We start from the raw sequence: 25,040 nt of genomic DNA, 5'->3' as shown, positions 1-25,040 counted from the left end.
GGAGTTTCACTCTTGTTGCCCAGGCTGGAGTGCAATGGCACCTTGCCGGCTCACCGCAACCTCCGCCTCCTGGGTTCAAGCAATTCTCCTGCCTCAGCCTCCTGAGTAGCTGAGATTACAGGCATGCGCCACCACGCCCGGCTAATTTTTTTATATTTTTAGTAGAGACGGGGTTTCTCCATGTTAGTCAGGCTGGTCTCGAACTCCCGACCTCAGGTGATTCACCCACCTCGGCCTCCCAAAGTGCTGGGATTACAGGCATGAGCCACCATGTCCGGCTGGACTCTGATATTTATATTCACATTATTGGCCAGTAGGGAACTGATATCTGACTCAAAAATTAGTAGGATATGAAATCCTTCATTCTATCCATGAGCTTGTTATTCTTGAGAAAAAAATTTACTTTGAGAGTCTGAGGAATGATAAGTTTGTTACATTCCGGAATCTAGTTTTGGTGTTGTGTCCATCCTTTAGATAGGGTGCAGCTCTGTTTTACCATAGCAACAACTAACTTTTATTTCCATAGCCACTGACTGCACTCCTGACCCTGCCAACCATCTTGCAAATACATCCTCTTGCTTAGAAGAACCAGGGGAGGGGTGGGGCATGGTGGTTCATGCCTGCAATCCCAGCACTTTGGGAGGCTGAAGCGGGCAGATCACTTTGAGCTCAGGAGTTCAAGACCAGCCTGGGCAAAATGGCGAAACCGTCCCTTAAAAAAAAAAACAAAATCGCATCACTATACTCCAGCCTGGGAAACAGAGTGAGACCCTATCTCAAAAGAAAAAAAAAAAAAAAAAAAAGGGCCAGGCACAGTGGCTCACGTCTGTAATCCCAGCACTTTGGGAGGCTCAGACGGGCAGATCACCTGAGGTCAGGAGTTCGAGACCAGCCTGACCAACATGGTGAAACCCCATTTCTACTAAAAATAAAAAATTAGCCAGGCATGGTGGAATGCGCCTATAGTCCCAGCTACCAGGGAGGCTGAGGCAGGAGAATCACTTGAACCAGGGAGGCAGAGGTTGCAGTGAGCCAAGATCACGCCACTGCACTTCAGCCTGGATGACAGAGTGAGACTCTGTCAAAAGAAAAGAAAAGAAAAAAGAGAGGGAGAGAAAGAAGAGAAAGAGACGGAGGGAGGGAGGAAAGAAGGAAGGAAAAGAGAGAAAAAGAGAAGGAAGGGAGAGAGGGAGGGAGGGAGAGAGAGAGGAAGGGAGGGAGGGGAGGAAGAGGAGGAGGAAGAAAGAAAAGAAGGGCAACAACCAGGGGAAGAATATGGATGAATCAGTCCAAATTTATCATCATCACTGTGCCTTTCTGGTGACAGGTCAGTGGTGATAATGCTCTTTGAGGATGACTCCCTGCAGTACTAACGGAAGCACAAAAGTGCCAGAACTGGATGACAGCTCACTTATTTCAGGCTAGAAAAAAATCTGGGCACACTAGGGTGAATGATAAGCTCCTTGGCATGCTAGCCAAAATCAGCTTAAAAGAGGGCTACCTGGGTACAAGAGAACCCTTATTTTGGGTTGAAAAGCAGAAGCTTCCCAAGAGGGAAGATACACTGAAGCTGAAGGTGTGGCAGTCCCCCCAACCAATTAGACTGGGGATGAAGGCTGCTTAGTTGGACTAGGAAAAGTAATGGATACTGGATTCCAGAGTGGGCAATGTTGGGAGGAGCAAGGTAGAATGTGATTTAAAGGGACTAAGAAATTTTGGGCTGAGCTAGGCTATAGGAGAATGGTAGACAGACCTGAGGATTTTGCTGGGCTGTGTCAGTCTGGGTTATAGAAGTGGGTGGAAATTACAACTAAGGGACTTGGAGATGAGGGGAGGTAAGAAGACAGATCTGATGGTATTGAGGTAGGGGCTGCTAAGAGAAGCATCAAACAGGAGGGCTAGCCCAGGTTTGAGCTGGACACTCCACTGACAGTTCTAAAGCAGAAAATTAGGGAAGGAATAGTCAGGGGCTTATCAGCTATGCAGTAGCTTCTAGAAGTCAACAGCTGGCTCTGGGAGGGAAAAGATTGAGAAAAACAAAAGAAATAAATAAGAGCAGAAGGTATAGGGGAAAAGGTAGGGGTGAGAGTTATCAGTCTGGTTAGAGCTGGGCTAAACATTTAGTCTTACCATCAGTTTAAAAGCACCTGGACCAGTTAGTTGCTGTACAGGCAAAGTCAAAGGGAGAAGCCTGGCCTCTCTCTACTCAGTCAAGGTTCATGACTTTAGGAGACTGCAATGAACCAGGCATACCAGGAAAGGAAAAGGTTAACTGAGGTTGAAAAAAAAACTTTATGTGGCACTTTTAAACAAGCAGGTTGGTTTGGCTTGTGTGACTATGATGGTGCCTGATTTTGAGCAGAGCAATTTGTGTTGTGACATTTTAAAATCCATTCTGGCACTTGGTGATGAATGTGTTGGCTGGCAGCTAAGAACTTGCTAGAATGCAAGTATGCAAGTCTTCACCATTTATAATCGACACTTCCTTTCCAGGAAAGAGCCTTTCTAATCTTTGAATCAGTGGATTTATCAATTTGCATAAAATATGCCATCCTCAATGAACACATTTATCATCTACCACTTAACTTTCCTTCTGTTAAAAAAAAAAAAAAAGCAGAATCACCTTCCTGTGAGTCAGCAGCTTTAAATTCAGCTGTGCTGGGTGAAGCTGTTAAGGGTAGGAAGGAGCCATCACTAGAAGGGGGAGAAGCAGGAATAAAATGATCTTTTCTATTTCCATGATTTTTTATGTTTCTGTTTAAATGGTTAAATACCCAATTAGGTTAGATGCTAATTAAATGTAAAATTACTGGGCTGTTCCAATATGCATGTTAAAGTTGTACTTCTTGGTTGTTTGTAATTTACCTAACTCTTGAGAGATCATCAGAGCAGCCCAGCTGAGTTTAAAGAAGGCTTCCAACTGCCCAGGATATGCATCAGTTCCTGAACAAAAAAAGAACACCCCAGGATCAACAGAAGCTACTATCAAATCCTTCAAACACTACATGCACCACATGCTCACATTTGTCCTATTTTTGCTACTATTTATCCACAAAAAAGCCAAGCCTGAACTCCTTCTTGAGGCCAAAACTTAAAAATATACCAAATGAATCAGTTCAAAATTTTACAAATTTGGTTTGGCTTAATCATAACTGATTCTTCATACTATTGACACCGTTGATTCTTCACACTATAGATACCACTCACTAAAATTACAACTCAGTCACCTCTTCCCATATACCATATTTCATTAAAATCAATGTAAGATAAGAAATGGTTACCAGATGCCATCGTTTCAGACCAAACCATATGTCAAATTTTGAATAAACCTAACAACATCTGATTGGTTAAGTAGCATACCTAGATTTATTAAAATCACTACACTCCTTTAATGTCTGTAGGAGAACATGCATGCACAAGCACACACACGTTGTGTGTGCATTTATATATATATATATATATATATATATATATATATATGTATATGCTACTGCAAAATTGAAGAGACTTTACCAAGTTCTGTCATTGACAGGGACATTATATATAAAGAATATACATACTGTAATTCACCTCATCAAGAGTTAATTTTATGGCCGGGCACAGTGGCTCACACCTGTAATCCTAACACTTCGGGAGGCAGATCACTTTGAGCTCAGGAGATTTGAGACCAGCCTGGGCAACGTGGCAAAAACCCATCTCTACAGAAAAATACAAAAATGAGCTGGGCGTGGTGACTCCCGCCTGTAGTCCCAGCTGTATACATGGGAGGCTGAGGCTGGAGGATTGCTTGAGCCAGGTAGCAGAGGTTGCAGTGAGCCAAGATTGTACCAGTGCACTCCGCCCTGGGTGACAGAGCAAGACCTTGTTTCAAAAAAAAAAAAAAGAGTTAATTGTACCAGGAACATGTGGTGTCAAAATTTAAAATATGTGAACTCTTTGACCCAGCAATGCTATTTTCAGGGATATATCCTAAGATCATCACCAGCAAAGTATATAAGGATGTGCATGCAAAAATATTCATCATGGCTTTCTTTATACAATGAAAAATTGGAAATAAACTTCTCATTAATGGGATGCTGGTTAAAGAAAATCATTACTGTAATATGCAGCCATCTAAAAGGGTAATTTATATGTATATATATTTACATAAGAAAACCCTCATGTCATATTGCTGAGTAAAAAGAAAGATGTCAATGAGTATTCATGATGTGATTCTATTTATCCTTGCAAATGGTGGAAATTCAATTATATGGTATTTTCTCTCTTTTCTGTTTGTTTTTCATATATGTATATATTTCCTTTGAAATCAGAAAAAAATCAAGCTATTTTCATCAGAGGAAAAAAATCATTACTCTGTATTTCAGTCACACTAAAATAGTCACCCAAGAAGCCAATTGTAGCTCTTTTATTTCTGTGCCTTCTGTTGGAAGGAAAACTGTACATAAACAGACCACATTACAGAGAAAATTTGAATGGATGGTGTCTGGTGCCTAAACCAAAACAGAGGTGAAATATTATACAAACTGAAGAGGATGACTTTATCATAGTGTTTGAAAGAATTCTGTGTGTGTGTGTGTGTGTGTTGTGTGTGTGTAGATACATACTAGTATATTTTCATTACTAACCAAAAACATAATGTAAGTTCCAAATGGCAGCAAAGAATATAATTACCTTTGGCTTTTCTTACATAAGTTACCACCCCATAAATCTTTATGTTAATTTGGAAAAATCTGACCTGAACAGATGGACCTCATGCTGTTCTCTAAAACATGAACAGATTTCTGATCTTCTGGACCAGGAAATGAAGTCAGCACTAAAAGAGAAGACACCATCATCCAGCTCCTAGAATTTCAATCTAAGAATCTGTAATAAAAGCAGTATTTCCCTCTACAGAAATATAGCAAAGTAATATGTTTACATCTTAATGAAATGTACTCTTGATATGATAAAACACAGTGTGATATTTATAGCACTGGTGGTGCTGGCTGTCTGGTCCCTGAACCTCACCAATTTTGGAGAATCCCCTTGCTGTGGTTCTTGGCAGGTAGAGCATTTGGCTTGATGCTCCCAAGTTTCTTATGGAAGGCACATCTCTGGGGCTGACACTCTGTGTGGATAAATCTTCATCTCATTAGTCCAAGGGCCTTTTTTCCATGAGCATTTTCACAGAAGCTGTTTCACAAATCAACTCCATTGGTGTTGAAGACCTAATAAAGGGCTCTCTATCAAGTAATTACAGCACTGAGGTTTGAATTTCTGCTCCACAACCTTCTAGTTGTTTAATTTATGTCGGGAAGAGACTGGTCGATAAGCAGGCCTGAATCTGAGGAAGAATTGGGGCCAAGGAGGTGGCCTGTGAGGTCAGGAGATTGGTTACATAAAAGAAGAATGAGTAAATAGTTAAATATATCGAGGATAATGGAAGCCAGATTTTTTTACCAAGAGAGAAGGAAGTTACAAATAGAATAAGGGTGAAGACTAGAATGAACCCTGTAGTGTTGGAGTAGAGCTAGAGATATTGGAGTAAATTCATGAGTTTTAATATAAATGGACAGAAAGATATATAAATAGATATAGGGGTGTGTGTGTGGGTGTGTGTGTGTGAATTTCCTAGCTCTGTCTGCTAAAATGGCCTAAAAACAGTAACACTCCAGTAGCAATGACCACACCTAGCATCCAGATCTTGGTTCTAAAAATCCATTCTCAAGTAAAAGGAACCAGAGCTCAGTGGAGAAACAGCTGATGAAATAACTGCAATGATTGTGGCAGAAAAAATACCAGAAGAGCCTGAAATGTCTTGCACCCCAAAAAAGTACTCTCAGAATGATACAGAGATGCCAAAAGGACACAGGAGCTGGCTTGAAGGGTATCCCAATGGCTGGAACTGGAGCATTTTCAGCATCAAAACCAATAGTGATAGTAATGGCTTATAATCTATTGGATAAAATAGAAATCCACAAGTCCACGCTGATGGAAATAAGCCAATAAGAAGGGAGAGGAAAAAACTTCTGTACAATAGAATCCCAACTAGTAAATGGAAAACAAATATTGTAATTAGAAAAACTACAATTTGGCAATCATCCTAGTAACAGTTTATGCAAGAATCATAAAATAAGCAAGTGAAACTTTGTTAAGAAACCAGATGTTTACATAGCCTCAAAGTGTCTTCCTACAAAATACTTATTAATTCAAAGGGAAAGAGAATAACTTAACAGTGGAGAAATTATCACCTTAAGCCATCAAAGTTAACATCACCAACAAAAAAACAATATTATGTGCCTTTTAATATGATACATTTGGAAGAATACAATTTCACTTCTATCACATTCCTGCCAAAAAAAAATGTATCACCTGAATCTAATCAAGAAGAAACATCAGACAAACCTAAAATGAGGAACTCTACAAAAAAAAAAAAAAAAGAAAAAGGCCTGAACTCAAAAATGTCAAGGTCACTAAAGATAAGGAAGGATTGAGGAAATGTCACAAATTAAAGATTAAAGAGACATAACAACTAAATGTAATTCATAATCCTGACTTTGATTCTAGACCAAAAGTAAGAAATACTTTTTCAAAAAGGAAATTGTTAGGACAAATGACAAATTTTGAATGTGGTGTGTGGATTAGATAGTGGAATTATATCAATGTGAAATTTCTGATTTTGGTGATAACACTGTGGTTATGCAGGAGAGGGTCCTTGTCTTAAAGGAAAACACTTAAGTAGTTAGGGATAATTGGATATCACCTCTGCAACTTACCTTCGATTGGTTCAGAAAAAGAAAATGAATGGCAAAACAAATGTAAAATGTTTACAATTGGAGAACTTGGGTGAAGAATAATAAGAGAGTTATCTTTTACCCAGGAGTTTGTTGTATTATATTTGCAACTTTTATGTAAGTTTGAAATTACTACAAAATAAGTTACAAAAATGGCAATACCAGTATTTAATTCGTTGGATTTTGGGGAAAAGTACATGAGTTAATATGTGTGGTATGTTTACAACAGAGCTAGACACATAATAAATGCTATATATATATGTTAGCAATGATGGTGATAGTGAGACAGTGGTGGTGGTGATGATGAAGTCCTGAATTTTAAACACACAGGTGCAGTGGCTCATACCTGTAATCCCAGAACTTTCAGAGGCCAAGGCGGGCTGATCACCTGAGGTCAGGAGTTCAAGACCAGCCTGGCCAACATGGTGAAATTCCTCCTCTACTAAAAATACAAAACTTAGCTGGGTGTGGTGGCAGGTGCCTATAATCCCAGCTACTCTTCTGAGGCATGAGAATCGCTTGAACCCGGGAGGCAGAGGTTGCAGTAAGCCAAAATCACGCCACTGCACTGCAGCCTCAGCCACAAGAGTGAAACTCCGTCTCAAAAATAAATAAATAATAAACACACAATTCATCTGAATTGGGATGAGTTGACTCTGGCTCACTTTTCTCCTTTTAGATTTAACAAAGAAATTAAAATAGTATTTACTTGCATCTGACATGCTAACAACAATGTAAATTTGTTTATTGCAATTTAAACACTGTTCATATAATGTTTTATACACTAGTGTCCCCAAGCAAAAGACATGTTAGTAATATTTTTTTAAATAATCCAAGATCAAATTTTTAAAAAGCCATTTTCACCTTTCATTAATTTAGGCAATCTGGTGATAATGAGAATATGCAATACATAAATATATACATATATTAACATATATTTAATAAAGGTAAATCATGTACAATGCTATTGTTTACGGTTACTATACAATACCATATACAGTAGCATTGTATATGATTAACCTTTATTAAATATATACATTAATATATATTACAATACATAGAATTAAAGACCATGAGAGTTTAAAAGATTTTGGGGATCATCTACTCCAATTCCTTTGAGAGTAAGTATATCTTCTCTCTACAGCAGGGGTGCCCAACCCTCAGTGCATGAACTAGTACTAGTCTGTGGCCTGTTAGGAACTAGGCCACACAACAGGAGGTGAGTGGAGAGCAAGCGAGCATTACTGCCTGAGTTCTACCTCCTGTCAGATCAACGGCAACATTATATCTCACAGGAGCACAAACCCTATTGTGAACTGTGCATGTGAGGGATCTAGGTTGCATGTTCCTTATGAGACTCTAATGCCTGATGATCTGAAGTGGAACCGCTTCATTCTGAAACCATTCGTGAACACACCCCCCACCCGCCGACTCCTTCCATGGAAAAACTGTCTTCCATGAAACCAGTCCCTGGTGCCAAAAAGGTTGGGGATGACTGCTCTACAGCATCCCCATCAAATAGTACAGTTTCTGATTGACCACCTACAATGACTAGAAACACTCCTTCTCAAAACAGCCAGTTGGAAGTCATTCCTGATTGTTAGAAAGTTACTTTTTAACAATGAGTCAAAATCTTTCTCCATGTAATTTCCAGAGGCTGCTACTATATGTCTTCTGAGGTCACAAATTGATTCCCTCTTCCACTTAACAACATTTCAATAACGTGAACTACTATTCCCTACCCTCCTCATCTAAATTCTCCCACTGTAAGTTTCCTCTTCTCCAAACTGAATAGCCCCTGGGTTTTCAATTATTCCATGTATAATCATGGTTTTCAGTCCTTTCACCATCTTATGTTTTATTCTTTTTTTTTTTTTTTTTTTTGAGACAGAGTCTCGCTGTTGTCACCCAGGCTGGAGTGCAGTGGCGCGATCTCAGCTCACTGCAAGCTCCGCCTCCCAGGTTCATGCCATTCTCCTGCCTCAGCCTCCCAAGTAGCTGGGACTACAGGCGCCCGCCACCATGCCTGGCTAATTTTTTTGTATTTTTAGTAGAGACGGGGTTTCCCCATGTTAGCCAGGATGGTGTCGATCTCCTGACCTCGTGATCCACCTGCCTCGGCCTCCCAAAGTGCTGGGATTACAGGCGTGAGCCACCACACCCGGCCTCAGTCCTTCCACCATCTTAACCACTCTCCTCAGTTTCTATACTTTGTCCTGTTCAGGGGGATTTTGTTTCTATGAAGGCAGTCTGACATCACATCAGCTATCTGGCAATCTCATGCATTCATGATTATTCCTTTATTCAGTCAGTATTTATGAGTGCCTATGATGTGGAAGGCACCATGCTAAGACATTATGAGAGACAAGACCAAGAAGGCATAAGCTTTCTCTTAAGGAACTTAAATGTTAATGGGTGAGAAAAGATATCAGACACAACAAGTACTATGCACATTAAAGGAAGGAAATTATACAATTAACTATAGATTTGCTTTAACATCAGAATATGGGTGAACAAAGCAAAAGTAATGACAATTTCAGCCTAGAACTAATTTGTTTTGGGATAGCATAAGAATTGGTAAAAAGGAGCAGTTTGAGATTTAAACTACACTAAAAGAGAAACTTCTAGATTAGAAGAATGAGCTGGGCATGGTGGCTCACACCTGTAATCCCAGCATTTTGGGAGGCCAAGGCAGGTGGATCACGAGGTCAGAAGATCAAGACCATCCTGGCTAACACTGTGAAACCCCATCTCTACTAAAAATACAAAAAAATTAGCCAGGCCTGGTGGCGGGCACTTGTAGTCCCAGCTACTCGGGAGGCTGAGGCAGGAGAATGGCATGAACCCGGGAGGCAGAGCTTGCAGTGAGCCGAGATCGTGCCACTGCACTCCAGCCTGGGCGACAGAGCTAGACTCCATCTCAAAAAAAAAAATGAAGAATGATCACACAAATGCAGAAGACACAAAGAGTTTACAGTTTGTTAACCCCTGAGAGCTCTAACAGGAATAATTATTTGTGCAGAGTGATTTACATGCAATTTTTTAAATAGGCAAAAAAAAAAAAGACTAGACTCAAGCACTTTACATGTATTATCTCACTTAAACCCACAAGTCCAACAAGGTAGGTACTATTACTCCTTTTTTCAAAAAACTTAAACGAAGCTCAGCAAGGTTTGGTGACTTGCCCAAGCTTACCAAGGTCCTAAATAGTGCAGTCAGGCTTCAAACCCAGGCTGTCACATTCCAAACCATTTGTTTACAACTTGAGATTATCAGCTACTTAATGCCCAACAAAGCAATTTCTGGCAAATTCCCACCCACATGCCTTCAACTTTCCTGGTGACCTACTTGAAAAACCTCTCACTGAACAATCTGGTTCATTCTCTGGATTCTAGAACACTTTCTACAGGGCTCTGTCATCATCCTTGACATACTGTATCATTGTGAGGTGCCTATGTACCAGTATCCCCTGATAAAGTGTTACCACTCCAAGAAAAGGCATTATGTCTTTATCTTTCTTCTAAACATCTCCAACCCCTAGCTCAGTGTAAGACTCAACAAATGCTGGAAAAATGAATGAGTCCTCTGGCTTAGCTGATATGCTTTGGAGAAAGTCACCTTCTTAACCAAGCACCTCTAATTCTGGATCTAATTAGTTGTAGTGCAGAGCTTTGGTTGTCACAATTCTGCAACCTAACTCTATCTTGTATCTCCTAACTGTAAAGTAAGGGAATCCAAAAAGCAATGTGAGTATCTAGCTGTTGTCCACCACCCTCCTCAGCAGCCTCATTCATTTTTCAGGGTCTTCACTCCCATTTACAACAGTGGCCAGCCAGAGTTACACAGAAACCAGAGGCAAAATAAATGGGAAATTAAATCACCTAATATTTCTCCTTTCCTCCATTGAGTTCCTAAAGTAAAAGAGTTCAGTAAAGTTGCTGATACTTTGGGGTCTTAAATAAAAGAGAGATACAAAGCAAGTGATTTTTATGCAGTCAGAAAATGATTAAACAAAATTTAGTAAAGATGGCAGGTATGTGGATTGAGTTCACATATAATTATAACTATGAAATAGTGTTAAGTTGAAAAATGCAATTGACATACTGAAGAATGCATTAGAGTCTCTTAATAGCAGAATTGATAAGGCAGAAGAAAAAAAATTACTGAGATTAAAGACAGGCCATTTGAAAATACACTGTCAGAAGAGCAAAAAGAAAAAAGAATAAAAAGAAATGATGTGGGCTGTGTACAGTGATTCATGCTTGTAATCCCAGCACTTTGGGAGGCTGAGGTGGGCGGATCACCAGGTCAGATCGAGACCATCCTGGCCAACATGGTGAAACTCCATCTCTACTAAAAATACAAAAAGTAGGCCAGGCGCGGTGGCTCATGCCTGTAATCCCAGCACTTTGGGAGGCCAAGGCAGGCAGATCATGAGGTCAGGAGATTGAGACCATCCTGGCTAACGCGGTGAAACCCTGTCTCTATTAAAAATACAAAAACATTAGCTGGGCGTGGTGGCGGGCGCCTGTAGTCCCAGCTATTCGGGAGGCTGAGGCAGGAGAATGGTGTGAACCTGGGAGGCGGAGCTTGCAGTGAGCCGAGATGGCGCCACTGCACTCCAGCTCGGGCGATAGAGCAAGACTCTGTCTCAAAAAAAATAATAATAATACAAAAAGTAGCTGGGCATGGTGGTGTGTGCCTGTAATCCCAGCTACTCAGGAGGCTGAGGCAGGAGAATCGCTTGAACCTGGGAGGCGGAGATTGCAGTGAGCTGAGATCGCGCCACTGCACCCCAGCCTGGTGACAGAGGGAGACTCCGTCTCAAAAAAAAAAAAAAAAAAAAAAAGAAATAATGTATGTCTAAAAAATCTAGAAACAGCCTCAAAAGGGCAAATCTCAGAGTTATTGGCCTTAAAGAGGAGATAGTGAAAGAGATAGAGGTAGAAAGTTTATTCAAAGAAATAATATGAGAACTTCCCAAACCTAGAGAAAGAGATCAACGTTCAAGTACAAGAAGGCTATAGAACACCAAGCAGGTTTAACCCAAAGAAGACTACTTCAAGGCATTTAATAATCAAACTCCCAAAGATCAAGGATAAAGAAAGGATCCTAAAAGCAGCAAGAGAAAAGAAACAAATAACATATAATGGAGCTCCCATATGTCTGCCAGTAGACTTTTCAGTGGAAACCTTACAAGCCAGGAGATAGTGGCAAGACATATTTAAAGTGCCAAGGGGGAAAAAAAAAATTTACCCTAGAGTAGTATAGCTGGTGCAAATATCCTTCAAGCATGAAGGAGAAATAGTTTCCCAGACAAATAAAAGTTGAGGGATTTCATCAACACCAGACCTTTTCTACAAGAAATGCTAGAGGGAGTTCTTCAATCTGAAAGAAAAGAACATTAATCAGCAATGAAAAATAATCTAAAGGAGTCCAGGTGCGGTGGCTCACACCTGTAATCCCAGCACTTTGGGAGGCTGAGGCGGGCAGATCACAAGGTCAGGAGTTCAAAACCAGCCTGGCCAATATAGTGAAACCCCGTCTCTACAAAAACTACAAAAATTAGCCGGGCATAGTGGCGGCCGCCTGAAGTCCCAGCTACTTGGGAGGCTGAGGCAGGAGAATCGCTTGAACCCGGGAGGCGGAGGTTGCAGTGAGCCAAGATGGCGCCACTGCACTCCAGCCTGGTGCCAGAGCAAGACTCCATCTAAAAAAAAAAAAAGTCATCTAAAGGTACAAAACTCACTGGTGATAGTAAGCACATAGAAAAACATAGAATATTATAACACTATAATTGTGGTGTGTAAACTGCTCTTATGTAGAAAGACTAAATGATAAGCCAATCAAAAATAAATTTTCAAGACGTAGACAGTACAATAGATGTAAAGAGAAACAACAAAAAGTTAAAAAGCAGAGAGATAAAGTTAAAGTGTAGAGTTTTTATTAGTTTTCTTTTTTGCATGTTTATGCAATCTTTGTTGTCATCAGTTTAAAATAGTGGGTTATAAGACAGTATTTGCAAGCCTCATGGTAACCTCAAGTCAAAAAACATACAACAGATACACACACACACAAAGCAAGAAATTAAATATGCCACAAGAGAAAATCATCTTTACCAAAAGACAAGAAGGAAGGTAAAAAGGAAGAGAAGACCACAAAACAACCAGAAAACAAGTAACAAAATGGCAGAAGTCCTTACTTATTGATAACATTGAATGTAAACAGACTAAATTCTCCAATCCAAAGACACAGACTGGCTGAATGGATTAAAAAGCAAGACCCAGTGAATCTGTTTCCTACAAGAAACACACTTCACCTATAAAGAGACACATAGACCAAAAATAATAAAGGGATGGACAAAGATATTCCACGCCAATGAAAACCAAACAAGGACAAAAGTAGTTATACTAATATCAGACAAAATAGATTTCAAGACAAAAACTGTAAGAAGAGACAAAAAAGGTCATTATATAATAATAAAAGGGTCAATTCTTCAAGAGGCTATAACAACTATAAATAAATATGTACCCAGTGCTGGTGCACCCAGATATATAAATTAAACATTACAGGGAAAGAGAGAGACCTCAATACAATAATAGCTGGAGACTTCAACACCCCACTTTCAGCATTGGACAGATCGTGCAGACAGAAAATCAACAAAGAAACATTGGAGTTAATCTGCAATATAGAACAAATGGACCTAATAGATATTTACAGAACATTTCATCCAACTGCTGCAGAATACATATTCTTCTCATCACATGGATGATTCTCAAGGATAGAACACATGTTAAGTCACAAAACAAGTCTTAAAACATTAAAAAGGTTGGGTGCGGTGGCTCACGCCTGTAATCCCAACCCTTTGGGAGGCTGAGGTGGGCAGATCACCTGAGGTCAGGAGTTTGAGATCAGCCTGGCAAACATGGCGAAACCCCATCTCTACTGAAAATGCAAAAATTAGCTGGGCATGGTGGCGTGCACCTGTAGTCCCAGCTACTTGGGAGGCTGAGGCAGGAAAATCGCTTGAACCCAGGAGGTGGAAGTTGCAGTGAGCCGAGATCATGCCACTGCACTTCAGACAGAGCAAGACCCTGTCTCAAAAAAAAAAAAACAAAAACCCTGAAATGATACCAAGTATCTTCTCTGACCACAAGTAAACTAGAAATCAATAACAAGAAGAATTTTGGAAACTATACAAACACATGGAAATTAAGCAATATGCTCCTGAATGACCAATAGGTCAATGAAGAAATTAAGGAAATTGAGAAATTTCATGAAACAAATGATAATGGAAACACAACACACCAAAAGCTATGAGATACAGTGAAAGCAGTACTAAGACAGAAACTTACGGCTATAAATGCCTACATCAAAAAAAGAGGAAAAACTTCAAATACGTAACCTAATAACACATCTTAAAGAATTAGAAAAGCAAGAGCAAACCAAACCCAAAATTAGTAGAAGAGGCCAGCAATTTGAGAGGCTGAGGCCGGCAGATTGCTTGAGCCCAGTAATTTGAGACCAGCCTTGGCAACATGGCAAAACCTCATCGCTATAAAAAATACAAAACTTAGCCAGGCGTGGTGGTGCACACCTGTAGTCCCAGCTACTCAGGAGTCTGAGGTAGAAAGATCACTTGGGCACCAGGAGGTTGAGGCTGTAGTGAACTATAATCATGTCCCTGTGCTCCGGCCTGCATGACAGAGCAAGACTCTGTTTAAAAGGAAAAAAAAAAAACTTAGTAGAAGAAAATAAATAATAAAGATTAGAGCAGAAATAAATGAAATTGAAATGAAAATACATAAGGTCACTCAAACAAAAAGTTGGGTTTTTTTAAAAGATACACAAAGTTGACAAACCTTTAGTCAGACTAAGAAAAAGAGAGGACCTTCCCTCCACTATTGTCCTATGACCCTGCCAAATCCCCCTCTCCGAGAAACACCCAAGAATGATCAATAAATACTAAAAAAAAAAAAAAGAAAAAAGAGAGAAGATCCAAATAAATAAAATCAGAGGCAGCTGGACAAGGTAGCTCATGCCTATAATCCTAGCACTTTGGGAGGGTGAGGCAGGCACTTGAGCTCAGGAGTTTGAGACCAGCCTGGGCAACATGGTGAAACCTCATCTCTACCAAAAATATAAAAAATTAGCCAGGTGTGGTGGTGCATGCCTGTGGTCCCAGCTACCTGGGAGGCTGAGGTGGGAGGATTGCTTGAGCCAGGGGAGACAGAGGTTGCAGTGCATCACGACTGCACCACTGCACTCCAGCCTAGGTGACAGACCACATCTCAAAAAAATAAATAAATAATAAAATAAAATTAGAGATGAAAAAGGAGACATTACAACTGATACCACAGAAATTCAAAGGATCATTTGCGGCTACTATGAGCAACTATATGCCAATAAATTGGAAAATCCAAAGGAAATGGATAAATTCCTAGACACATATAAAACACCAAGATTGATCCATGAAGAAATTTGAAACCTAGACAGACCAATAACAAGTAACAAGATCAAAGTCATAATAAAATACTACTGATTTTTGTATGTTGATTTTGTATCCTGCAACTTTACTGAATTCTAAAGTTCTTTTCCTCCCCATAAAGAAAAGCCCAGGACCTCGTGGTGGCTCATGCCTGTAATCCCAGCACTTTGGGAGGCCGAGACAGGCGGATCACGAGGTCAGGAGATCAAGACCATCCTGACTAACACAGTGAAACCCCTGTCTCTACTAAAAATGCAAAAAATTAGCCGGGCATTGTGGCGGGCACCTGTAGTCCCAGCTACTTGGGAGGCTGAGGAAGGAGAATGGCGTGAACTCAGAAGGTGGAGCTTGCAGTGAGCCAAGATCGCGCCACTGTACTCCAGGCTGGGCGACAGTGTGAGACTGTGTCTTAAAAAATAAAATAAAATAAAATAAAGAAAAGAAAAGCCCAGGACCTGATGGCTGAATTCTACCAAACATTTAAGGAAGCATTCTAATCCTATTCAAACTGTTCCCAAAAATAGAGGAGAGAATACTTCCGAACTCACTCTATGAGGCCAGTATTACTCTGATACCAAAACTAACAAAGACGCATCAAAGAAAGAAAACTACAGGCCAATATCTCTAATGAATACTGATGCAAAAATCCTCAACAAAATACTAGTAAAGCAAATTCAACAATACATTAAAACAGTCATTCATCATGACCAAGTGGGATTTATCCCAGGGATGCAAGGATGGTTCAACATGTGTGAATCAATCAATGTGATAAATTATATCAACAGAATAAAGAACAAAAATCATATAATCATTTCAATTAATGCTGAGAAAGCACTTGATAAAATTCAACATCCCTTCATGATAAAAATCCTCAAAAAACTGGGCACAGAAGGAACATATCCCAGCATAATAAAAGCCATATATGGCTGGGCAAGGTGGCTCATGCCTGTAATCCCAGCACTTTGGGAGGCTGAGGGGGCGGGTCACTTGAGTCCAGGAGTTTGAGACCAGCCTGGCCAACACGGCAAAACCTTGCCTCTACTAAAAATACAAAAAATTAGCCTTGGTATGGTGGTGCATGCCTGTAGTCCCAGCTGCTTGGGAGGCTGAAGCATGAGAATTGCTTGAACCTGGGAGGGAGAGGTTACAGTGAGCCAAGATGGCACCACTGCACGCCAGCCAGAACAACAGAGCAAGGCTCTGTCTCAAAAAAAAAAAAAAAAAGTTATATACGATAGACCCACAGCTAGTATCATATTGAATGGGGAAAAACTGAAAGCCTTTCCTTCAAGATCTAGAAAAAGGATGGCCACTTTCACCACTGTTATTCAAGACAGTACTGGAAGTCCTAGCTACAGCAATCAGATAATATAAAGAAATAAAGGACATCCACGTTTGCAGGGACATAGATGAAGATGGAAACCATCATTCTAAGCAAACTATCACAAGGTCAGAAAACCAAACACCGCATGTTTTCACTCATAGGTGGGAGCTGAACAATGAGAACACATGGACACAGGGTGAGGAACATCACATACCAGGGCTGGTAGGTGGGGAGTCAGGGGCTGGGGTAGGGATAACATTAGGAGAAATATCTAATGTAAATGACGAGTTGATGGGTGCAGCAAAGAAACATGGCACATGTATACCTATGTAACAAACCTGGACGTTGTGCATATGTACCCTAGAACTTAAAAAGTATAATTTTTTTAAAAAAGCAAGAAATAAAGGACATCCAAACTGGAAAAGCAGATGACAAATTATCCTTGTTTGCAAATGATATGATCTTATATTTGGAAAAACCTAGAGACTCTGGCAAAAAACTGCTAGAACTTTAGAATTCATTAGTAAACTACTGTTTACAGATAAACAAATTCAGTAAAGTTGCAGGACACAAAATCAACATACAAAAGTCAGCAGCATTTCTATATGCCAACAGTGAACGATCTGAAAGGGAAATCAAAAAAGTAACCCATTTACAATAGCCACAAATCAAATTAAATACCTAAGCATTAACTTAACCAAAGACGTGAAAGATCTCTACAAAGAAAACTATAAAACATTTGTGAAAGAAATTTAAGAGGACACCAAAAAATGGAAAAATATTTCATGTTCATGGATTGGAAGAATCAATATTGTTAAACTGTCTATACTACCCAAAGCAATCTATAGATTTAATGAAATTCCTGTTTAAATAGCAATGACATTCTTCACAGAAATAGAAAAAAAAATCCTAAAATTTATATGGAACCACAAAAGACCCAGAATAGCCAAAGTTATCCTGAACAAAAAGAACAAAACTGGAAGAATCACATTACGTGACTTCAAATTATACTACAGAGCTATAGTAACCAAAACAGCATGGTACTGGCATAAAAACAGATACATAGACCCATGACACAGAATAGAGAACCCAGAAATAAATCCATACAGCTACAGTAAACTCATTTTCCACAAAGGTGCCAGGAACATACACTGGAGAAAGGACAGTCTCTTCAATAAATGATACCGGGAAAACAACATCCATATGCAGAATAATGAAACTAGACCCCTATCACTCACCACATAGAAAAATCAAATCAGCCTGTAATCCCAGCACTTTGGGAGGCTGAGGTGGGTGGATCACAAGGTCAGGAGTTCGAGACCAGCCTAACCAACATGCTGAAACCCCATCTCTACTAAAAATACAAAAAAAAAAAAAAATTAGCCAGGTGTGGTGGCGCGCGCCTGTAATCCCAGCTACTCAGGAGGCTGAGGCAGGAGAATCGTTTGAACCTGGGAGGCGGCGGTTGCAGTGAGCAGAGATCAAGCCACTGCACTCACTGCACTCCAGCCTGAGTGACAGAGGGAGACTCCATCTCAAAAAGAAAAAAAAGAAAAAGAAAAATCAAATCAAAATGGAATAAAGACTTAAATATAAGTCTTCGAACTATAAAACTACTTCAAGAAAACTTGGGGAGACTCTCCAGGACATTGTTCTGGGCTAAAATTTCTTGAGTAATGCCACACCAGCATAGGCAACCAAAGCAAAAATGAATAAATGGTGTCACATCAAGTTTAAAAGCTTCTGCACAGCAAAGGAAACAGTCAGCAAAGTGAAAAGACAACCCACAGAATGGGAGAAAATATTTGCAAACTACCCATCTGACAAGGGATTAATAATCAGAATACATAAGGAATGGCAAATAACTATCAGAATAAATCTAATGATCCAATTTTTAAATGGGCAAAAGATCTGAATAGACATTTCTCAAAAGAAGACATACAAATAGCAAACAGGTATATGAAAAGCTGCTCAACATCATTGATCATCAGAAAAATGCAAATCAAAACTACAATGAGATATCATCTCACTCCAGTTAAAATGGCTTTTATCCAAAAGCCAGGCAATAACAAAAGCTGGCAAGGATGTGGAGAAAGGGAACTCTCACACATTGTTGGTGAGATTATTAATTAGTTCAACTTCTATGAAGAACAGTTTGGAGGTGCCTCAAAAAAATAAAAATAGAGCTACCATACAATCCAGCAATCCCACTGCTGGGTACATAACCAAAAGAAAGGAAATCAGTATATGGAAGAGTTATCTGCATTCCCATGTTTGTTGCCGCACTGTTCACAATAGCCAAGATCTGGAAGCAACGTAAGTGTCCATCAACAGATATTTACATACAATGGAGTACTATTTAGGCATAAAAAAGAATGAGATCCTGTTATGTGCAACAACACAGATGGAACTGAAAGTCATCATGTTAAGTGAAATAAGCCAGGCACAGAAAGACAAACTTCACGTGTTTTCACTTATCTGTGGGATCTAAAAATCAAAAAAATTGAACTCATGGAGATAGAGAGTACGCTGGGCGCAGTGGCTCACGCCTGTAATCCCAGCACTTTGGGAGGCTGAGGCAGCCAGATCACCTGAGGTCAGGAGTTCGAGACCAGCTTGGCAAACGTGGTGAAACCCCATCTCTACTAAAAATACAAAAATTAGCTGGGTGTGGTGGCGGGCACCTGTAATCCTAGCTACTTGGGAGGCTAAGGCAGGAGAGTCACTTGAACCCAGAAGGCAGAGGTTGCAGTGAGCTGTGATCATGCCACTGCACTCCAGCTTCCAGCCTGGGCAACAAGAGCAAGACTCAATCTCAAAAAAAGAAAAAGAGTAGAAGGATGGTGGTTACCAGAGCTGGGAAGGGTAGTGAGAGAGAGTTGGGGGTGTGGGGAAAACTGGGGATGGTTAATGGATACAAAAAGTAGAAAGAATGAATAACACCTAGTATTTGATAGCACAAAAGGATGACTATAGTCAATAATAATTTAATGGTACATTTTAAAATCATTAGAAGAGTACAGCTGGATTGTTTATAAAAACAAAGGATAAATGCTCAAGGGGATGGATACCCCATTTACCATGATATGATTATTAAACATGTTGCATCCCTATATCAAAACATCTCATGTACCCCGTAAATATATATATACCTATGTACCAACAAAAATTAAAAATTAATATAAATAGAAATAAAAATGAAGTAGTCAAAGTCATAGAATCGAGGAGTAGAATGGTGGTTTCCAGGGACTGGAGGGCAGGGGAAAATCAGGAGTTATTAATCAACAGGCATAAAGTCTCAGTCAAGCAAGATGCATAAGCTCTAAAGATCTGCTATACAGCATTGCACCTATCAACAATACATATCAACAATAATGTATTATACACGTAAAATTTTGTTAAGAAGGCAGGCCCGGGTGCAGTGGCATACGCCTGTAATCCTGGCACTTTGGGAAGCCAAGGCAGGCAGATAACCTGAGGACAGGAGTTCAAGACCAGCCTGGCCAACATGGTAAAACCCTGTCTCTACTAAAAATATAAAAACTAGCTGGGTGCGGTGGCCAGCTACTCAAGAGGCTGAGGCAGGAGAATCCCTTGAACCCGGGAGGCAGAGGTTGCAGTGAGCGGAGAGCACGTCACTGCACTCCAGTCTGGGCAACAAGCAAGACAATGTCTCAAAAAAAAATTTTTTTTTTGTTCAGAGGATAGATCTCATGTTACATATTCTTTCCACAATAATTTTTTTAAGTCTAAAAAATTGGACATAAATGTTCATTATGGGATTGTTTAAAAAACTTACATTCTATCCACACAGATCAATATTATGCAACCCTTAATAATGATGACCTAGTTTTATGATGAAAGACATTAATTATAAATTATATAGCAAAAACGCAACCAATAGAGGATTGGTCCATTTAAAATGTATGCATGTTCATCTAAATGAAAATCTGTTTACAATGGTTTTCTATGTTTATGCATTTCTCTATTACCTAAAATTCTTATAATGAGCATATATTTTTTAAGGAAAAAACAATACCAATGTTTTTGAAAAATACAAATGTAAACTTTAAGAACTTCACACAAACCACATACCACCAATATATTTAAAATTGTCTGCATTATGATACATTTTAGTCATATGTTAAGATTATAAATTTCTATGATTATTTATATGTTGTTCTTATTAAAATTTACATTAATTCATTTTCCTTAAGCTTTCTTTAAGGAATTTTTTTGGTATCAATATCAATTTTACATCTTCCTAGACTTTTGTTCTGGAATGTAAATGAGTATAAATACTTAATTGCTCAGCCAAATACCAAACACTTCAATCCACAGGCTCTGTGCCTTTGGAACAGATGATTATGAAAATAAATGGCTCTGCAGAGTTCACATTTACTAGAAGTGTCAAAAAATAAAGATGGATTACAAAAGCTCTAAAAAATGTGTGGCTTGTAGTGTGTAATGGTTTTCAAAAGGGATGAGTGTATTTGCATGTGTGTTAGGTTTGTGCGTAAATGCACATACCTGTATCTTTCATAAGTATATGTGAGAATTCCTGTTTACGCTCATGGTGTGTACTTTCTCATAGGTAATAAAATCTGTTATGCATATGCTTATCTGTACCTCCAAGGCAAGCCACATTTGCTTTCGGGTTATGTTCAGGAAACCAGCCTCAACTTGTCTGAAAAGAGTTTCAGTGTTGGGCCTGCTCCACTCTGGCCACCAGCCATGGAGATGGGCTATTTTTGGCAAAGGTGCAGAGTAGAAGGGCAACGCAGGCCGCGGCCCAGGAAGTCAGTCGACGAGGGCGCGCGAGGCACTTCAGCACCACGGACATAGGCAAGCCTGAGCCAAGTCCTTTCCCGCGGAGGAAGATCGCTCCTCCGGAGCTACCCCCAGCCCTCTGGACCTACCCCCAGCCCTCTGGACCCACCCCCAGCACTCTGGACGTGGGGGGTTACTATCTCCAGGTCCTCGATCAACACTCGGACCCGAGCTTTCCGCCTCGCTCCTCGCGGAGCCGGGTGAAAGAAAACCTGGCCCGAGATGCAGGTCCGCGCTGAGCCTTCATCCGCCGCAACACGAGTCTCTTTCCTGCCGGCCCGCGCGACCCTTCTTCCCTCTCCTCCTCTCAAATGAGGCCAAATGGGTGCACGTGGCGTAGAAATTCTACAGCGCCCAGAGCACTGTGAGGAAAGATTCGCCTTTTCCTCCCCGTGGCTGCTGGAGGCTGTGCGGACTTGCCCTGAGCCTTCTCCGCCACTCTCGGCCGTGACGAGGCCCTTCCTCCACTAACCCTTGCCCTCGTCTTCCCTTGGGAAAAGATGTCTACAAACCGTCGATGTACCACGAAAATCTCAGCGCCCACAGACTGGCGTTCAAGAGTCATGGACATGAGACAAGAGAGTAATGGAAAATACAAATTCTTGGCCATATTTCTAAAATCATCCAGCCTTTTTTAAAACTTGTATTTGAAATTGATCCCATATGACGCCACAGTGACTCACCCCTTGCTTGGGTTGGCTACTGGGCGAGAGGAAAGCAACAGCCCCTGGCCTTCATCATGGACGCTGCAGGAGGGCCCAGACACGCGACAGCGGAAAGAAACGGGAAACCGGGCCGTAGCCGATGCTGGCCCTCCCGTCCCCGTGTCCCGGTTCTCCAGGAGGGCAGCACAGAGAAATGCGGGCCCCGCGGCCTTTCAGGCGTCGTGCAGAGCACCCCGAAGTCTGCAAAGCGGGCGGGGCGCGTCGCCCCCAGCCCGGCCCTTACCCAAAAAGACTGTTGTGCCCCTTAGGTGTGGCGGCTAAACGCGGGTGTGTGGAGTTCGGGGTCCGCTCTCATTCCCTTGTCGGGCGGCCGGGCAGGCAGGATCAAGGTCCCAGTCCGCCGCCGCCGACCGGCTCCCGGGGCCCGGTTACCTGCGTGTCGTGGCGAGGAAGGTGCCCCGGAGGCGACTGACGCGGGCGTGCCCTCGCCTGGGAAAATCGAGGCGGGCGCTGCCCGGAGTACTGCGGAGGGAGAGGGGCGCCGCCGCGCGGACTCTGCGCCTGCGCTCTCCGCCCTCCGCCGCCCCCACCCCACAACCTGACTGGCGCCGGAGTTGGAGACTGCGGGGGACGCTCAGGGTTGTGCCTGAACTGAAGGACTTCCTCTACCCGCGAGGTGGGAGGGTCCACGGGAAAGCGCCCGCCCGGGCCCCTCTAGCTTACGCCCTTGGAGGGCGCTTGTTTGAAGCAATTGCCTGTCTGCCAGGGCTACGTAGTCCGCTGCAAGTGGGCACGGAGGCAGTTTCTGTCCATTTCCACCCATTGTTTGCGCTTAAAAGTCGCAAGTCTATTCCTTCATGTTTAAATATGTGTCCAGCATCGGAAAATCGTGGTCCGGAAAAGTCTTCGGGCATCCCCGAGTCCACCCGCCATTTTACTGATAAGGTCTCTGAGGGAAGGGTCTTGACACTGCACAGCTGGTTCTTCTACCCAAGTGCATATGCCCCAGTCCCAAGTGGAATGAATATAGCCTCTTGGAAACAGACTGGTCATTAAAAGCAGTGGATTTGATGGGTCCAGGGGACAGGCAAGAAAGGGTAAGGGCTGAACCAAGGTGCTGGCTGTGGGAAAAAACAGGAGGTGCTTGCTGGTTTTTCCTCTGTCCCTTCAGACCCACTCTCCACTCTGCTCTGTGACTCAGGACTGACCTTTATGGGCTACGTCAACTATAATCTGGCTTTCAATTGGTTTTGGCAAGTGGGAGGCACCTGCAGATCAGAAGGCAGGATGTGATTCAGGACCTCCCCTGCATCCCCAGCGGGCCACCCTGTTAGCAGTGGCTATGTTCTTCATCTGAAAGCCATTACTCCCATCCTGTGGCCCTCTCCTGCAGTTTTCTCCAGGTTCTGGTTACCACTAACTACCCTTGCCCCTTCAGGCCTGGAGTGGGTAATGACGCCCAGAGGTTTCCTTTAACCCCATCCACACCTTTTTAAATAGTCCCTTCATTAAACTCTCCTCAACTATCCCATCTTTTCCCCACCTTTCCAGGACGCTATAATAGATTTTAGTCCATTGCGGTTGGCAAAATTCATGAGGACAAAAATATATGTAAAAGAAATACGGGGCTTTTAAAAGGCGAGAAGTCTTCCAGAGCCATCTTGACAGTTCCCTGGGCTCCAGGCAGCCAGCATGCTAGGTGGTCTCCCCACTGGGCCCCATAGCCCGAGGGTGCTAGTTTAGGTAGACCCAAGAATGGAATTCAGACTGCTCATAAACAGTGTGATCACCAAAGGGCTGGGGATCATTTCAGAGTCCAGCATAACAGGATTTTGGATTCCTCTTGAGGTAGAGAGACAATCTAGATCTTTATAGAGCAAGTGCTGGTGCTCTCCCAACTACAGCTGGGCTGCTTTTGAATGAGTCAATATTCTTAGGACACTTAAGAGAGTCCTGGAAACAGTGTCTGACAAGTGTGCTTAACAAGAAACTGCTGAGTGAGGCAATTGTCAATTGAGAGCCTCTGGCTGTTTCTGTAGAAAATCCAAGAATGTTCCCAAAGAGGGGGAAAAAGGCAAGAGGGTAGGAAGTCATTAAATTGCCTCTAGCACACTATGGTGTGCTTGGTCTGAATCCAAAATTTGACCATTTCTCGGGCTTGTAAAAACAACCAAACTGATTTGACTACTTTGATTCCTTCCCCATCCCCTTGAAAAACAAAACAAAAACAAAATAAACAAAAAACCCACCAATGCAGTATCTTAGCAAGACTTACCCAAAGGGACCCCCAGCTGTAGCTATTTGCAAATAAAATTAATGTCCAAGCAAACACACTATTTGTACTGAATACAAATGAGACCAGAACAGAACATTTAACATGTAAATATTTCCAAACTTTCACCCTTCCAAAGAGAAAGGATCATTTGTTGTTCAGACATGCATTAATTGTGCTGATCTCAATAAGGAATAGAGGTAAAGAAGCAAAAGGAGCCTCAGAAGGCTCGGCTGATCTGCAAGGCTCAGATTTTTTGTTTTGGAGAAGGTGGGATGGGGTGGGGATAAGGAAGGCGACCAGCAAAGTTTGAGTAAGGGAGTAAGAAAAAAAGACCTGGAATGAGCTGACTAGGAGAGATGGTTTCTGGGAGTTTTGAGAGAGTGAGACTAGGGATTTAGCACAGCTGACATTCTGAGTGACACCAAGGTATAGAAAGATATGAAAGAGGATTTTTAGACATTTTGTGATGTTTAATAAATGGAATTATTTTGTGCTATGATACATAGGGCTTTTCCTTACAAGTGTCAAAAACTTAAACTCAGACTGATTTAAGAAAAGGAGTATATTTGGCTTAATAACTGAAAAATCCATAGATAGGTAACTTCAGATATGACTAGATTCACGAATGCAAACATTGACATCAGGACATGATCTCTCCTTTCCTCTTTGTTGACATCAAAGAGTT

General features: G+C 41.4%; 1 protein-coding gene across 7 annotated transcripts in view, besides 2 other annotated features; it reads right to left on the bottom strand.

The window, feature by feature from the left end:
- SLC35G2 (solute carrier family 35 member G2) overlaps window positions 1-22,601 on the bottom strand; it is a 36,763-nt gene extending 14,162 nt beyond the window's left edge. Inside the window, exon 1 of one of the 7 annotated variants that reach the window (XM_017007290.2) lies at window positions 21,215-22,601. The gene's annotated coding sequence lies outside the window, so the exon portion shown is untranslated. Of the gene's footprint in view, window positions 1-2,865; window positions 2,944-4,735; window positions 4,809-9,968; window positions 10,918-21,214 lie in introns of those variants that run through there. The other 6 variants (NM_025246.3, NM_001097599.2, NM_001097600.2 and 3 more) reach the window with 6 other exon arrangements.
- Window positions 21,404-21,453: a silencer, noted in NCBI's record as "silent region_14761". NCBI's record gives its function as "represses an Ori minimal core promoter by ATAC-STARR-seq in GM12878 lymphoblastoid cells {active_cell/tissue: GM12878}" and the evidence as "EXISTENCE:reporter gene assay evidence [ECO:0000049][PMID:35858748]".
- Window positions 22,517-22,576: a silencer, noted in NCBI's record as "silent region_14760". NCBI's record gives its function as "represses an Ori minimal core promoter by ATAC-STARR-seq in GM12878 lymphoblastoid cells {active_cell/tissue: GM12878}" and the evidence as "EXISTENCE:reporter gene assay evidence [ECO:0000049][PMID:35858748]".

The sequence above is a fragment of the Homo sapiens genome, chromosome 3 (genome assembly GCF_000001405.40).
Source record: "Homo sapiens chromosome 3, GRCh38.p14 Primary Assembly".
In the NCBI taxonomy this organism is placed as follows: domain Eukaryota; kingdom Metazoa; phylum Chordata; class Mammalia; order Primates; family Hominidae; genus Homo; species Homo sapiens.
Note: the sequence above shows the minus strand (reverse complement) of the source record. Positions and strands in the feature narration are given on the sequence as shown.